The sequence below is a fragment of the Homo sapiens genome, chromosome 10 (genome assembly GCF_000001405.40).
Source record: "Homo sapiens chromosome 10, GRCh38.p14 Primary Assembly".
NCBI classification, from domain to species: Eukaryota; Metazoa; Chordata; class Mammalia; order Primates; family Hominidae; genus Homo; species Homo sapiens.
The window spans coordinates 58,323,024-58,337,534 of record NC_000010.11 but is presented as its reverse complement, the minus strand read 5'-3'; the positions used below and the strand labels follow the sequence as shown (position 1 = coordinate 58,337,534).

General features: G+C 42.7%; 1 protein-coding gene and 1 long non-coding RNA gene across 3 annotated transcripts in view, besides 4 other annotated features; one reads left to right on the top strand and one right to left on the bottom strand.

The window, feature by feature from the left end:
* UBE2D1 (ubiquitin conjugating enzyme E2 D1) overlaps positions 1-2,529 on the bottom strand; it is a 35,743-nt gene extending 33,214 nt beyond the window's left edge. For both annotated transcript variants that reach the window (NM_003338.5, NM_001204880.2), the window contains exon 1: positions 2,310-2,529. In NM_003338.5, coding sequence (NP_003329.1) covers positions 2,310-2,333 — 24 coding nt within the window. In that variant the 5' untranslated portion in view covers positions 2,334-2,529. The remainder of the gene's footprint in view (positions 1-2,309) is intronic.
* Positions 2,145-2,664: a silencer, noted in NCBI's record as "silent region_2378". NCBI's record gives its function as "represses an Ori minimal core promoter by ATAC-STARR-seq in GM12878 lymphoblastoid cells {active_cell/tissue: GM12878}" and the evidence as "EXISTENCE:reporter gene assay evidence [ECO:0000049][PMID:35858748]".
* Positions 2,145-2,865: a biological region, named in NCBI's record as "H3K27ac hESC enhancer GRCh37_chr10:60094430-60094930".
* Positions 2,365-2,865: an enhancer, noted in NCBI's record as "H3K27ac hESC enhancer chr10:60094430-60094930 (GRCh37/hg19 assembly coordinates)". NCBI's record gives its function as "activates a minimal SCP1, AML or CMV promoter by ChIP-STARR-seq in naive H9 embryonic stem cells {active_cell/tissue: H9 hESC(naive)}" and the evidence as "EXISTENCE:reporter gene assay evidence [ECO:0000049][PMID:30033119]".
* Positions 2,472-2,766: an enhancer, noted in NCBI's record as "tiled region #7957; HepG2 Activating DNase unmatched - State 1:Tss, and K562 Activating DNase unmatched - State 1:Tss". NCBI's record gives its function as "activates a minimal TATA promoter and a strong SV40 promoter by Sharpr-MPRA in HepG2 and K562 cells {active_cell/tissue: HepG2 | K562}" and the evidence as "EXISTENCE:reporter gene assay evidence [ECO:0000049][PMID:27701403]".
* LOC112268068 (uncharacterized) lies at positions 7,856-11,907 on the top strand. Its single transcript, NR_158219.1, has one exon. It is a non-coding gene; the product is annotated as an uncharacterized LOC112268068 (long non-coding RNA).
* Positions 11,908-14,511: the final 2,604 nt, after the last annotated feature.

Here is a 14,511-nt window from a genome sequence, read left to right as displayed (position 1 = left end):
GAAGAAAGGCCAAAAGTTAGTATACATCTTCATTTGTTGGAACATGAAAGATTCAAATAAGAATTCTATACTGATGACATCAAAGAAGATGGTGTAACTGTTCATACGGCAGGCGGCACATCTAACCTAGAATTGGCTTCTAATCAAGGAGGTAGGTAAAGGAGGAGGAAAAGTAGGGAATCAATCAAAATAATCACCCCTAAGGTTTGAGGGATTGGTCTGAATGTGTGATTAATGGAAAGAAGATTTGTGTAAGTCGATTTTCCTGATATCAGAAAGGGAAGCCAAAAATGAACACACAGAGATGTGATGGTGTGTCATCCCCAATTTCTTTTCCAAAATATCAATTTGTCACATGTTTGATATCAATTCTATGTAAGTAATTTTTTTTTTTACTCAACAATTCTATAAACTAATAACCAATAAATACTAAAAAGATTTGGACACACGCCATATTATAAATATAAATCAAATACACTAGTTCAGCATGGTGATTGATGAGAACTGCCAAGGGTGGTATTTACAAATAATGTTCATATTTCTTTGAATATCCACTTACTGTGGACAAATTATACAGCTTAAGCTATTGTTAGTTGGGTATGGTGACTTGTGTCTGTAATCCCAGACTTTCTGGAGGCCAGGAGTTCAAGATCAGCATGGGCAATATAGTGAGATCCCCATCTCTTAAAAAAACACAATGAAATTTAAAAAGCTCTTGTATGTGCAAAATCATGTGAAAAATTCTCACAACTAGGAAAGAAGGAAATAGAATTTGAAAACTTCCTTGGAAGATGTGCATTTTCTGATCCAAATGTGAACCAATATTACTTCGTCATTAATAAGTATGCAAGGTATGGTAAAGATGCTAAGGCTTCAAAATTAGGGTATTTATATAAAACAATGTGTAATTGCGCTACCTTCAAACAAGAAAACATTATTACTTAATAAATGCTGATGCTGATTGTTAACTGTATGTTTTACAATGAGATGACCTTTAAATGGCACAAAAAATAACAGGTGATCCACAGATTTAGAATTTGAAAATAAAAAACTGGCAGGCTCTAAAAGTTGCTGTCCTCTGTACCTAAAGATGTCACCAGTGGCGAGTCAGAATGCAATGCGTACGTCACTATCACTGCTCTAACATATACTATTGCTATAATGGACTCCTGGTCAAAAAAGTGGATAAAAATGTGGGCATCAATTTCTTCTGAAACAACTACAAAATACACTGTCCATTGTTGCTTAACTTAGTGAAAAGCACTCCCTATTTAACAAACACATTCTCAATGTTGCCAGTGTGAACTGTAACTGTAAAACCTAAAACTTGGGTCAGTACACAGACCAACAAGAAATAAAAATGAACAGAAAGAAATGCCCGAATCTGAATTCTGAAGGATGTTCGCATCTGAAATGGTGGCAATAAATACTGTGAAAAAAAGACGATTCCATACACAGGGTTGAGATGGGTAAACAGTTGTTGGATGAAGATATATATTTCTTCCTCATTCTATACCCATGTGTCAAAGCATCAAAACAATTTATTTGCGACAGTTTATGTTGTGTCTCGAACTTTACATCTAAGTTTATCATGAGGGGGAAAAAAACCTGTTTGGCTTGACTCACCGTGAATCACAGCCAGGAGGTCATCTTGTTGTGTATCAGCAACTATGTTTTCGCTACAGCTATGTGACCTGAAGTGGCAGCAGCAGAGGCACCAAAATAGAAGGGGCAGGAGCCTTCTCCTGACTTCTTGGCCGCAAATGGGCTTTCCAGCCCATTCGGGCAACTGAGCAAGAGCCAACCGCAGAGGAGAGAAAGAACCAACCCGACAGCTCCGCGGAGAAAGGCTGCAGGCCCACCCCACCTTCCTTGCCCTCCCGGGGAGGCCGGGTAAGCAAGAACATAAAAGAGGACAGGCTTAAGAAACAGCCTGGAGAAAACACAGCATGACAGGGGTCAAAACTAGCCCCATGGAGGGCAAAACCCGGCCGTGACCGTGAAGCACAGATTTCGGGACGGTCTGGACGCGCAAGAGGCTCTCTACCCTGGGGCTCCGGGAGCGGCTCCGGCGCGAACGCGCGCGGGCCCCCAGCCTTCAAGCTCCTCCGGCCGCCTGGGACCTGACCCTGCTCCCACCTCACCTGTCCGATGCCCGCTGGCCCGGCCCGAGCCTTCAGCTCCCTGCCCGCACCCCGGCCCACCCTTCCATCCCTTGCTCTCCCCGCATGTCTCTCGGGACCACTGGCCGAGTCAGCGTGGGCAGGGGGCCGCTGCCCCGCAGCCCCAGGCCCGGCCCCGGCACTCACTTTCTGAATCCTCTTCAGCGCCATGGGTCAGGGATGGCGGTGGGGACACCGGCCGGCAGGGGTCGGCTGCGGGGCTCAGGGGCGTGGGTCGTCGCGGGTTGGGCTCGCTGGCAGCTAGGCTGGCTCCGCGCGGTGGGTCCCCGGTTAGCCGCTCCCTGGCTCGCTCCGGGCGCCGGTCCCTGCTCCGTGTGCGCCCGAGCGCGAGTGTGCGCGAGTGTGCGGGCGGGGACGCCGGCGAGACTCTTTTGTTTCCGCTTTTGCTTCTGGGAAGGAGCCTGCGCCCTCCCCGCCGCGCCCCGCCCCGCCTGGCACACTGGGAAGTGTAGTTCCAGCCCTGTCCTCGGCTGCAGGCCCCCGGACGCTGCCAGGTAACTTACTGCTGACCTCAGCCAGGCAGCTTAAGGTGAGAGCTGCCGGGGGCTGGAATTAGCCTCTACAGTCTCATTTAGAGCAAATTGCTGAACCTGGGGCTGCGCATCTGTAAAATGGGGATAACAAATGAGCTCCTAACGCACATAAAGGAATTTCTAAATCATCAGTTAGTAATTCCTTATCCAATAGGTGCCACAGCTGGTTTTATTATTTTTACCTTTAAAGATTTCACTGTCTTTTCTCAAATATATGGATTGTCTCACTCACCCTGCACACATGCACAAACTCATATCAGACCCCCTACTTACCTCCTTGGTTCTTATTGCAGAGGAAAAAGGTGTCTCTTCTGTCCAATGTGCAAATCTTCCTTGTCTGAGTGCATTGTCTGCTCGTAGGTATGCCCCTCCCATAAATTACCCACTTCGAACACCGAGTTCTGGGCTCTCACTCCCATCATTGGTTCCTTCCCTTCCGTTGACAGTCCCTGACCAATAGTCAACTCACGCTCCCCACTCTCCAATTCCTATGCACTTGTGTACCCATTAAAACTTGGCTTCTTGGCCAAGATGAGATTTGGGTGGGGACACAGCCAAACCATATCACTCAGGGATATAAAGATGGCAACAAATAGACACTGTGGACTACTAGAGAGGGGACCGAGGGAGCAAAGGTTGAAAAACTGTTGGGTACTATTGTCAGTACCTGGGTGATAAAATCATTCATACCACAAATGTCAGCATCACACAGCATACCCAGGTAGCAAACTTGCATATGTGGCCTCTAAATCTAAAATAAAAGTTGAAAAACAAAAACAAACAAACAAAAACAGAATCTTGAGCCCCACTCCAGACATGCTACATCACACTTTGCAGTTTAATAAGACTCCTAGGTGATTCAGATGAACATTAGGGTTTGAGAAGCACTATGCTGGAAGGCATAAGAGGAGATCCTAAAAATGCAGATTTCCTTTAAAGGATTTAATTTAGCAGTAAGTTTTGGGTGAAGCTCTGGAGTCTAAACTTTAGAACAAACTTCCCAGGAAGTTAGGATGCAGGTATCTGAGGACACTTTTGAGAATCTCCACCTTGAGCAAATCTTCAAATCCTTCTAAGCCTCAATTTCCTCACCCATAACTAATGCAATAAATGTTGTATTTGTTTAAAGGGAATAGAGCTGAAACTTTTGGTGCCCTTCTAACTCAAAGGTCTATGATTTGCACAAAAAATGGTGATTTTTTTCTCTTCTTTATAAATAGAAAGAAACCTAAAAAGTAAGCTTACAAGATTATTTTTGTCTTTCCTAGGGCAGTTTACCTCCCAACAAAAGAGAAATTAACACTTATTAAAAAAATCTACGTTGGTATCTTGCAATAATAGTTTACACTTTAAGATTGCTTTAAATGGGCTGGGCACAGTGGCTCACGCGTGTAATTCCAGCACTTTTGGAGGCCAAGGCAGGTGGATCACCTGAGGTCAGAAGTTCGAGACCAGCCTGGTCAACATGGTGAAACTCCTTCTCTACCAAAAATTCAAAAATTAGCCAGGCGTGTTGGCACATGTCTGTAATCCTAGCTACTTGGGAGGCTGAGGCAGGAAAATCGCTAGAACCTGGGAGGCAGCAGTTTTACTGAGCCGAGATGGAGCCATTGCACTCCCGCCTGGGTGACAGAGTGAGACTCCATCTCAAAAAAAAAAAATTGCTTTAAGCTTTTCAAAACATTTCACACACATTTTTGCAACATGCAAATACATGTGCAACATATAGTAGTTCAGTGTGTTATTTAATCTCCTACTCTTTCTCCCAGGATGTAGTTTCAAAACATAGTTTGTGATCAACTGCATAACTAATTCAAAAATGTTACTTAATGCTTACTATATGCCAGGCACTGAAGACACATGATAAAGAAAATAGACAAGATCCCTACTCACAAGCAGAACATCAAAATCCTATGGGGTGGGGAGGAGGGTACAAGACTTGTTAAAAATGCAGATTTCTAGGCATCAGGCCACACTGTCAATAAATAATCCTTGCCCTCTGAATTATCTCTGTTTGGGATATTATACTGCACTAGGTGGTAAAATATATGCAAAAGAAAGATTATATTTGGTCTTACCTTCCATAAACTTAAAATCTTCATGGTAGGAAGATAAATGCATAAAACAAATAAGTAGCAATGCAAGATATTCATTCATTCAGTCAGTCAGTCAGTCATGCAGACAACAGCAACAACAAATTTCAGGAAAATTTCCTTAAAGCAAAACAAATGGTGCAGAGGATAAGGGCTAAAGATGTTCAAAAGGGCATTGCCATGGACGGAGAGTAAGGGAAACTTTGTAGAGACAATAGAACTTGAATGCAAGACGCATTTGGAAAAGCAAAAGAATAGGTGAAGAACTTCCAATCGTAAGGAAATGCATGTGGAATGGACATAAGTATGAAATGCTCAACATGGAGGCCAAGCAAGGAAATACAACTAAGTCCAATGGTTGAGATCAGATAGTGAAGGACATTGACTGTTAGTCTTAGAAACATGAAATTGAGCTTAAATGCAACAAGAGGTTGTGTATCAGGAGAGTATTATTGTGACAGTGATGCATTAAATAGACAATTAGTCTAGTGGAGGGACATGGAATGAGGACAGAATCAGGAAAGGGAAACAAGTTCAATTACTATTGCAGTATTTAGGACCAAAATAATAAGGGCCTGCCTGTACAAGGTTGATAGCACTAGAAACCCAAAGAAGAACTTTTTGAGAAAAAAAAAAAAAAAAGCCATGGAACTTTGTTGCAATTACATACAGAAGTAGAAAAATAGAAGAGTAAATATGAACTCTAAATTTATGAGTGGTGGATTGAGTTAAAGGTGTTAACATTGATAAGCTTTTGGAGGGGAGAATGGTAAACCGAGCTTAAGACATACACATATATGAAATGTATGTGGTATTCAAGTGGAACTTCCCTAGTGGTAGGTAGAGATATGGGGCTGAGAATATGGATATGAGAGCAATCATGTGAGAGAATGATTTTGAAACCGTAAGATACAAATTGCTTCCCAAAGAGGAAAGGGGAAGACAGAGAAAAGAGAAGGCACTAGAAAATGGGCTTTGGGGAGCAGCAACAGTGAAGACCTATGAGGAAAAAGATGGGTCATGGGTGGGAAAGTAAGTGGAATACCAAGAGTGTTTTGTGTAGTGGCAGCAAAGAAAAGTGAGAGCTTTAGGTAGGAAAATAGCTTCAAAAAGATGTATTTTGCAACAGGGATCTAAGGGAATAAGGAACAGGAAATGGATATCAGAATTAGTGAGGTGCTACCTTCAAGGATAGTGTTTAAGAAGGGTGATGGGTAAATAAGACATAGTGAAAGATAAATGGGTAAATTAAATGGAGTCAAGCAGTGCTTATCACACTTTGGAAAATGCTGGGGAGGAAGGGGCATGAGATAGGAACTAAAAGAGGGCCTGTGATTTTTCCAAATGTGATCTCTGCATGCTTGAAGGTAGATGTGAAAGAGTTAGTGGGTCTATTATGTATTGCTTCAAAGCAAATTACCCTAACCCATAGCAGCTTAAATCAACAATCAACATTTATCATCTCACATAGTTTCTGTGGGTCCGGAATTTGTGAGCATCTTAGCCGGGTGGTTCTTCCTTGAGGTCTTTCATAAAGTTGCAGTCAAAATGTCGGCCAGGGTTGCAGTCATATGAAGTCTTTACTATAGATAGAGGATCCACTTCTAAAACACTTCGCTTACATGGACAGCAGAATGGCCTTTTTTTCTGGCCATCTGGACTTTTTCATAGGACTGTTTGTGTGTCCTAACAACATGACAATTGGCTTCCCCCTTATTCCTTCTTCAAGGAAAGAGCAAGATGGAAGTCACAATGTCTTGGAAGTCACACACTGTCAACTTTACCCAATGTGGAAGGAAACTACACAAAGATGTGGGCACCAGGATATGGGAATCCAAGATGAGGGGCCATCTTGGAGGCTCGCCACCACAGAGGGAAAGGAAAAGTTAATGCAAGTGTTAAGGGAAAGGCAGAAGCCCTTGATACTCAAAGTATGGTCCACTGAGTGGCATCATTTGTGAAATTGTTAGAATTGTAGAATCTCAGACTCTACCTCAGAACTACCAAATCAGAATTTGCATTTTTAAAAGATCCCCAGGTGACTCATATGCATATTACATTTTGAGAATCATTGATCCAGGGTACAGAAAGGATTCTCTTTAGAGAAGGAAATTGTAGCCTACGCAGGAGGAAGGAAGTGTAGAAGTGAGTCTTGTGACAGAGATGAAGCAGAATAAATAAGAGTGCCTACAAATTGACTGCTTACCACACAGAGTTAGCAGTTAAGGCAACATACAACAAAATTAGACAACTTAATGAAAATAATCCTGTTTTATAATAGCTAATTTAATGCAGTGGAAAGAGTATAACCTTGGAATAAAAACATAGATTTGTATCCTGTTTCTATTGCTAATTAGCTGTATGTCTTTGGGCAAGTTTCTTAACCACTCCAGTTCTTAGTTTTTTTCTTAAATTATATGATGGCAATAATACCAATTCTATAAAGTGGGGTAGAAGATGAAAACAACAGACTATATAAAGCACTGAGTTCAGAATAAGTACCCAATAATGTTATTTTTCTCCTTTCCTCCTTGTCTTCCAGTGCTTTAAACTCTCCATCTAGGTCCTATCTTTTACCCTTTTAATCATGGTTGCTACCTGTAGGAATATTTCGTTTAATTTTCTAGATTTTCTGTCTCAATCTTAATGATTTTATTAGAGACAGCATATTACAGTTGCAAGCGCATATCTGAGAAACCATAGATATTTGGGAAACCCCTAAATCTTCTCTCATTTCATCAGAGTTGATGGAATAAAAGGTGTTATATTGAGCATGTAGTACTGGCCAAAAAATACAGGCCAATTGCACAAGAGAGGTGGAGATTGTGACTAGTGTTAACCCTACCTAAGATTATGAATATCCCTTTCCCCACCCTAGTATTGGCTCTGCATCTCCATTGTCTGCTTCTCCCCCAACACCAAGCCCCCAATTTCCCCCATTTTTATCCTGGACCCTCTTGGAAACCTATAACAGGTTTCCTATTTCTTCTTCTCACATCCTTTCTCTAAATTCACAGACACCTTTACTTTGAGACTCTTTAGAAGGCATTTAATATAAGTAACAATATGGAAACTGAGAACATCAACATACATAATGAACTACAGTGGCATGACAAATTTATAAGAATTATTTGGAAAAAACATACTACAAAACTATTAAAGATTGGTTCTCATCAAGAAAGTGAAAAGGACCGAGTGTGGTGGCTTATACCTACAATCCCAACACTTTGGGAGGCCTAGGCAGGAGGATTGCTTGAGCTGAGGAGTTCAAGACCAGCCTGGGCAACATAGCAAGACCTTGTCTCTACTAAAAATTAAAAAATAGCCAGGCATGGCAGTAGTATGTGCCTGTAGTCTCAGCTAGCCACTCAAGAGGCTGCAGCGGGAGGATTGCTTGAGCTTGGGAGATCAAGGATGCAGTGAGCCATGATTGTGCCACTGTACTTCCAGCCTGGGTGACAGAGTGAGACCAAGAAAGAAAGGAAGGAATGCAAAGGAAGGGAAGGGAAGGGAAGGGAAGAAAGAAGGGGAGGAAGGAAAAAGACAACCCACAAACTTGTAGAAAATATTTGTGAATCACACATCTGATAAGGGACTTGTATCTAGAATATGTAAACAACTCTTATAACTCAATAAAATAAAGATAAATAACCCAATTTAAAAATAGGCAATAGATTCAAATGAATATTTCTTCAAAGATATACAGATGGATGATAAGCACATGAAAACATGCTCATCATTAGTCAATGAAGAAATGCAAATCAACGAGATAAAACTTCACGCTCACTGGATGGCTGTACTCAAAAAGATAGACAATATCAAGTGTTGGAAAGGATGTGGAGGCATTGGATCCCTCATACATTGTTGGTGAGAATGAAAAATGGTGTAGTAACTTTGGAAAACAGTTTGGCAGTTCCTCAGTATGTTAAAAATGAAGTTTCCATATGACCCAGCAGTTCTACTTCTAGGTAGCCACCCAAGAGAAATGAGAACATATATCGATGCAAAAGCTTGCACATGAATATTCCCAGCAACATTATTTGTAATAACCAAAAAGTGTAAACAACCCAAATGTCCATCAATTGGTGAATGGAAAAACAAAACATGGTATATCTAAACTATTGAATATTATTCAGCAACAAAAAGGCATAAAGTACTGAAATATGCTATAACAGGGATCCCCAACCAGTCTGTGGCCTGTTAGGAACTGGGACACACAGCAGAAGATGAGTGGTGGGCAAGTGAGTGAATGTTCATCTGTATTCACAGCCACTCCCCATGGCTCTCATTACCACCTGAGCTCCGCCTCCTGTCAGATCAGTCACAGCAGTAGATTCTCATAAGAGCATGAACCCTATTGTGAACTGTACATCTGAAGGATCTTGGTTGCATGCTCTTTATGAGAATCTAATGCCTGATGATCTGTCACTGTCTCCCATCACCCCCAGATGGGACCACCTAGTAGCAGGCAAATGAGCTCAAGGCTCCCACTGATTCTACATTGTGGTGAGTTGTATAATTATTTCATTATATATTACAATGTAATAATAATACAAATAAAGTGCAAAATAAATGTAATGCACTTGAATCATCCCGAAACCACCACCCCATCATCCGTGGAAAATTTGTCTTCCATGAAACTGGTCCCTGGTGCCGAAAAGGTTGGAGACTGCTGTGCTACAACATGGATGAACCTAAAAACCACAATGCTGCTGGGAGGAATGGCACATGCTCATAGTCCCAGTTACTCCAGAGGCTGAGGCGGGAGGATTGCTGGGCAACATAGTCACCCCAACTCCAAAAACCCAAAAAAACAAAGCCCAAACCATTATGCTAAGTGAAAGCAGCCAGTCAAAAAAGATTACATATTGTATAACCTCACTTATATAAAACGTCCAGAACAGGCAAACCTATAGAGATGAAAAGTAAATTTGTATTTGCTAAGGGCTGGGAGCAGGGAGGTTTGGGGGAGAATGAATGACTGCTCATGGGTACGGGGTTTCTTTGGGGGATGATAAAATTGTTCAAAAATTAGATTATGGTGACGATTGCAGAATTCCTTAAACACACTTAAAACCATTGAATTGTACACTTACTAAGCTTTAAGGTATGTAATTATATCTCAATAAAACTTTTGTTAAAGTCAATTCTGTCCTCATTGGGATTTGAACCCTCAGGCCTCATCACCGTCACTTTCTTTCTTGGGGATTCTTTTTGAGGACAGCCCTATCTGTCTGTATGTAGCTTCCATCTCAGGGATGCTGTTTCCGTCATTCCATCCGACCAAATAAGAAAGGAAAGAAGATCTCAAAATCTCCCAGCCCCAGCATCTGTAAAGTAGAAATTCTCCACCCTGGCTGTGCCTCAGGACAGCGTGAGTCACTTTTTAGAAACCCCGATTGGCTGGAGGCACAGGGAGCGCAGGCCCAAGCAGCTTATCCAACGGCCAGGCCAGGACCGCGTCCCGGGAGCCCCCGCCCAGGCCTGTTCGACCCCTCCCAGCCTCGGTTCGCCAGGGCTGACTCGTCACCTGCCCCGCTCCGGGAGGCCAGGGAAGGAGCGAGGACGCCGCAGGAGCCGGGATCCATATGACCGTCACCCACAGCAATGCGAAGCCTGGGCCTCCTGTCACCCCGCAGCAGGGCTGCAGCAACCCAGTTCTCCCACACCCGGCCCAGCTTACGGAAGAGGCCACAGGGATCTTGCAGCCGTCAGAAGCTCAGATTTAAGAAGTCTCTGCAGGATACGGAGCAGGCAGCAGGAGTTGTCAGCGCACGGAATACAGAGTGGTTCCCGGGTCACGATGGGGTGTGGAGGCGGGGGTGGGGGGAGATGGTCCAGAGAAAGATGGTCCAGAGAAAGAGGGGCAGATTTGGAGAAGTCTTTGGAGAGGATCACTGGCCAAGTGGAAGAGGCGGATGAAGAGCTCCCTGGGTGTGCTGCTGACCAAGGCAGATCTGGAGGCAGAGTCAAAGCAACAGTCGGCAATCGGGCAATTTATGAAGACGTTGAAGGAAGGAGTTGACACACGGATTCAGTCAGAAATTTCAAAGAGAGTAGAGTGAAAAGAAGGGTTTGGTGAAAAGATTCAGGCATTCCTGGTGGAGGTGACATAGTGGAGCAGGACATCTACCAGAAGTCCCGGGGCTATGGTCCATGAGCTTGGCCCTGGCGGAGTGAGGCCAGTGCAGCCTGGCTCCGCTGCAGGAGATGCCAAGACAAGGCTGCCCTCTCTGGAACAAAAGTGACCTCATTTCTCAGGTACTGCTGGGGACTGCCGGCCAATTGCCAATTTTGCCTCTCCTTCACTCAATGAAGAAGTGTTTGTCTTTGCAAATACAGGAAGCGCTCTTTTTTGTTTTCTCCTTGTGTTGTTGAGGCTTTGCTGTCCAGGAGTGGTTTCTGGGGAGGGCCACCCCATCCAATGTCCCCACCTTTTTTGACCTTTGGGTGCTTTATTTGGGCTGGTGAGAACTCTCTTTTGTCCTGGGGGCAGTTCTGAGCTTATAGGCCACTGAGGTCTTCATATACAACAGGGCCTATTCCTTTTGTGATTGGGTAGTCCCACCAACTGTAACACCAGAATCATCAGGAGGTAGAGCCCAATCAGGAGAGCTGGGAATGAATGGCTCAGAACCGGTGTTTGGCACACATGTAGGACAAGCATTCTTCATGTGTCTTATTTTGAACAGCTGTCTGGATTGTTGTCTCACAGGTTTTGGCATTATGTGACCCCCACATCCCCAATTCTGTCCTGCTACAGGCCGTAAGATTTCAGGGGGACCATTCCCAGGGTGGTACCTGTGGTTGATATATGAACTTCCTTGTCCCCCACAAATCTCCACAGGGTTCAAACCCAGTGTTGAATGAGTCTCTGTTTGAAATTAGATTAGAACCACCACTTGGGAAGGGCAAAGAGCAGACAGCCTCAACAGTGGTGGAGCCAACCATGAACTTCTCAGGAGTGACCTGTGCTTCCTTCAAGGCAGTTTCTGTTATGTGTATCCTTCTAAGACCTGCATTTCTTTCAAGACTGATCCTGTCCATTTTGTAGCCCATTTTTCTTCATTAACAATAAAACCAATTGTGAGCACCAAAGAGCAAGCAGAAGAGTGTTTAAACATTTTTTCTTTCTTTGATTAATGAAGTACGAGAAAAAAAAATCCCTCTGTGGTTCTATTTAGTCATAATTTATTTTCATAACGTTCTGAGGGGCCCTGGGAAGTTAGACCCCTTCTTAAACAGGGCAGCTGCATCCCCCCATTCTTCAGCAAAGCACCCAGTGGACAGGCTCTTGATGGGCCACTCTGAGGCAGAGGGGGATTTCAACAAAGACCCCGGAAGTTAGGACCGGGTTGTGGGAGCTGGGACAAGGTTGTGGTGAGGGCAGAAATGTGGATGTGGCCCGTTCCCTCTCATCCCCAGCTGTAACTGGAGCAGTTCAGTATGTGTCTGTTTTTCTAAAGTATCTGAATGGACTTGGGTGAGCTTCCTCATATAAAAATTAGTTTAATAGACCTACCATGTATGATCAACGGAAACAGAAGGTAATGTGTAATGCACTTAGCACAATATGGGGAACATGGAGCTTGTTCAGAAAAATGGGAGCTATTATTGTTCTTGAATTCCACATTAGAATTTATTAAAAGAATGGCTTCCAACACTTGAAAAAAAAGTTTGGAAATCACTGATTTCGCTCATGGCCTTTGTTAACACAAAGAAAAAAAACATGTTTTGATAAATTATATGGAAAGTCTGGCCTGTAATCCCAGCACTTTGGGGGGCCGAGGAGGGCAGATCCCTTGAAGCCAGGAGATCAAGACCAGCCTGGGCAACATGGTGAAACCCTATCTCTACACACACACACATATATGTATATATATTAGCCAAGTGTGGTGGTGCATGCCTGTAATCCCAGCTACTCGGGAGGCTGAGGCATGAGAAATGCTTGAACCCAGGAGGTAGAGGTTGCAGTGAGCCTAAATCATGCCACTGCACTCTAACCTGGGTGACAGAGCAAGACTCTGTCAAAAAAAAAAAAAAAAGAAAGTAAAAGAAAGAAAAAAGAAAGAAAGAAAGAAAGAAAGAGAGGGAGGGAGGGAGGAAGGAAGGAAGAAAGGAAGGTCTATTATTTAATTTATATAAAATTTTTAAAAATGATGAAAAAATAGCATTTTTATCCCATGATTTATTATCTAAAATGAAAAATGTTTCATGGAAGAATATCCCTAATAAACTCATTTCAAAGTTTTGATATAAAAAAGATTAAGGCAGTGGTAATCCTAGAGCAGAAAGTTACATGTAGAGAGAATTTTATTCCCATAATAGATGTGTTTTACTCTTTTTCAGGGTTCCTTCTTCTCAGATATATATTTTTTTCTTTTTTACAATTCCATTTAACAGTTTTCTCCAGCCAGACAAGGTGGCACACGCCTGTAATCCCAGCACTTTGGGAGGCTGAGGTGGGCAGATCACTTGAGGCCAGGAGTTCAATATGGCCAATATGGTGAAACCCTGTCTTTATTAAAAATACAAAATATGAGCTGGGCATGGTGGTGTGTGCCTGTAGATCCAGCTACTCCAGAGGCTGGGGTGGGAGAATTTCTTGAACCTGGGAGACAGAGGTTACAGTGAGCCAAGAGTGAGTGCATGCCATTGCACTCCAGCCTGGATGACAGAGCGAGACTTCATCTCAAACAAAACAAAACAAAACAAACAAACAAACAACAGTTAAAAAAAAAAAAAAAAAAAAAAAAAAACCAGCTTTCTCCTATCTTGTGACCCTTCACAAGCATGTTTAGAAATTTAGTTCCTTTCTTCTTTGATATGAATTGTCATTTTAGGCTATGATATAAATATTCTGGATGGAGTCTTTTGACTGTATTGCTCTAATCAATTTAGTTCTATATTATAACAATTGCACATTTTGCAGCTGATATGCCATCTAAAAGTAAACATTATTCTTTTTTTTTTTTTTTTTTGAGATGGAGTATCGCTCTGTAGCCCAGGCTGGAGTGAGTGGTGCGGTCTCGGCTGACTGCCACCTTGCCTACCGGGTTCAAGTGATTCTCTTGCCTCAGCCTCCCAAGTAGCTGGAACTACAGGCGCATGCCACAATACCTGGCTAATTTTTTGTATTTTTAGTAGAGACGAGGTTTCACTGTGTTAGCCAGGATGGTCTTGATCTCCTGACCTCGTGATCTGCCTGCCTCGGCCTCCCAAAGTGCTGGGATTACAGGCATGAGCCACCGCTCCCTGCAAGACTATACTTTAAAGCAATAAATGAGCACCTCACTCTCTTAACTTTTTAAGTAATCTAGAACAATATATTGTCATTTACTGAGATTGATGTTTGTAATTTTACTCCTGAGATTAAACAGTAATAAACATGTTAATGCTATAAACATTGTTAAACAAGTCTACATGACACAGCTCTTTAACAAACCTATTTCCAAGTGCTCTGAATCATGGTTGGTTGTACTTTTCTGCAATGCCTCACAGAATCTAATTACAGGCACTAAATGCAAAGCCAACTTTATAATCAATTAAGAGTGATGGGGACTCCAAAGCCAGCTGGCTTAGGAAGACCTTTATATATACTGTATAATATAATCTTGTGAAAAGGCAGAAAGATATTTACACTTTACTGACACAGGAAGTTCGGTGGTTGGGCTCACCCTAGGGATACAATATGTGTTCCTA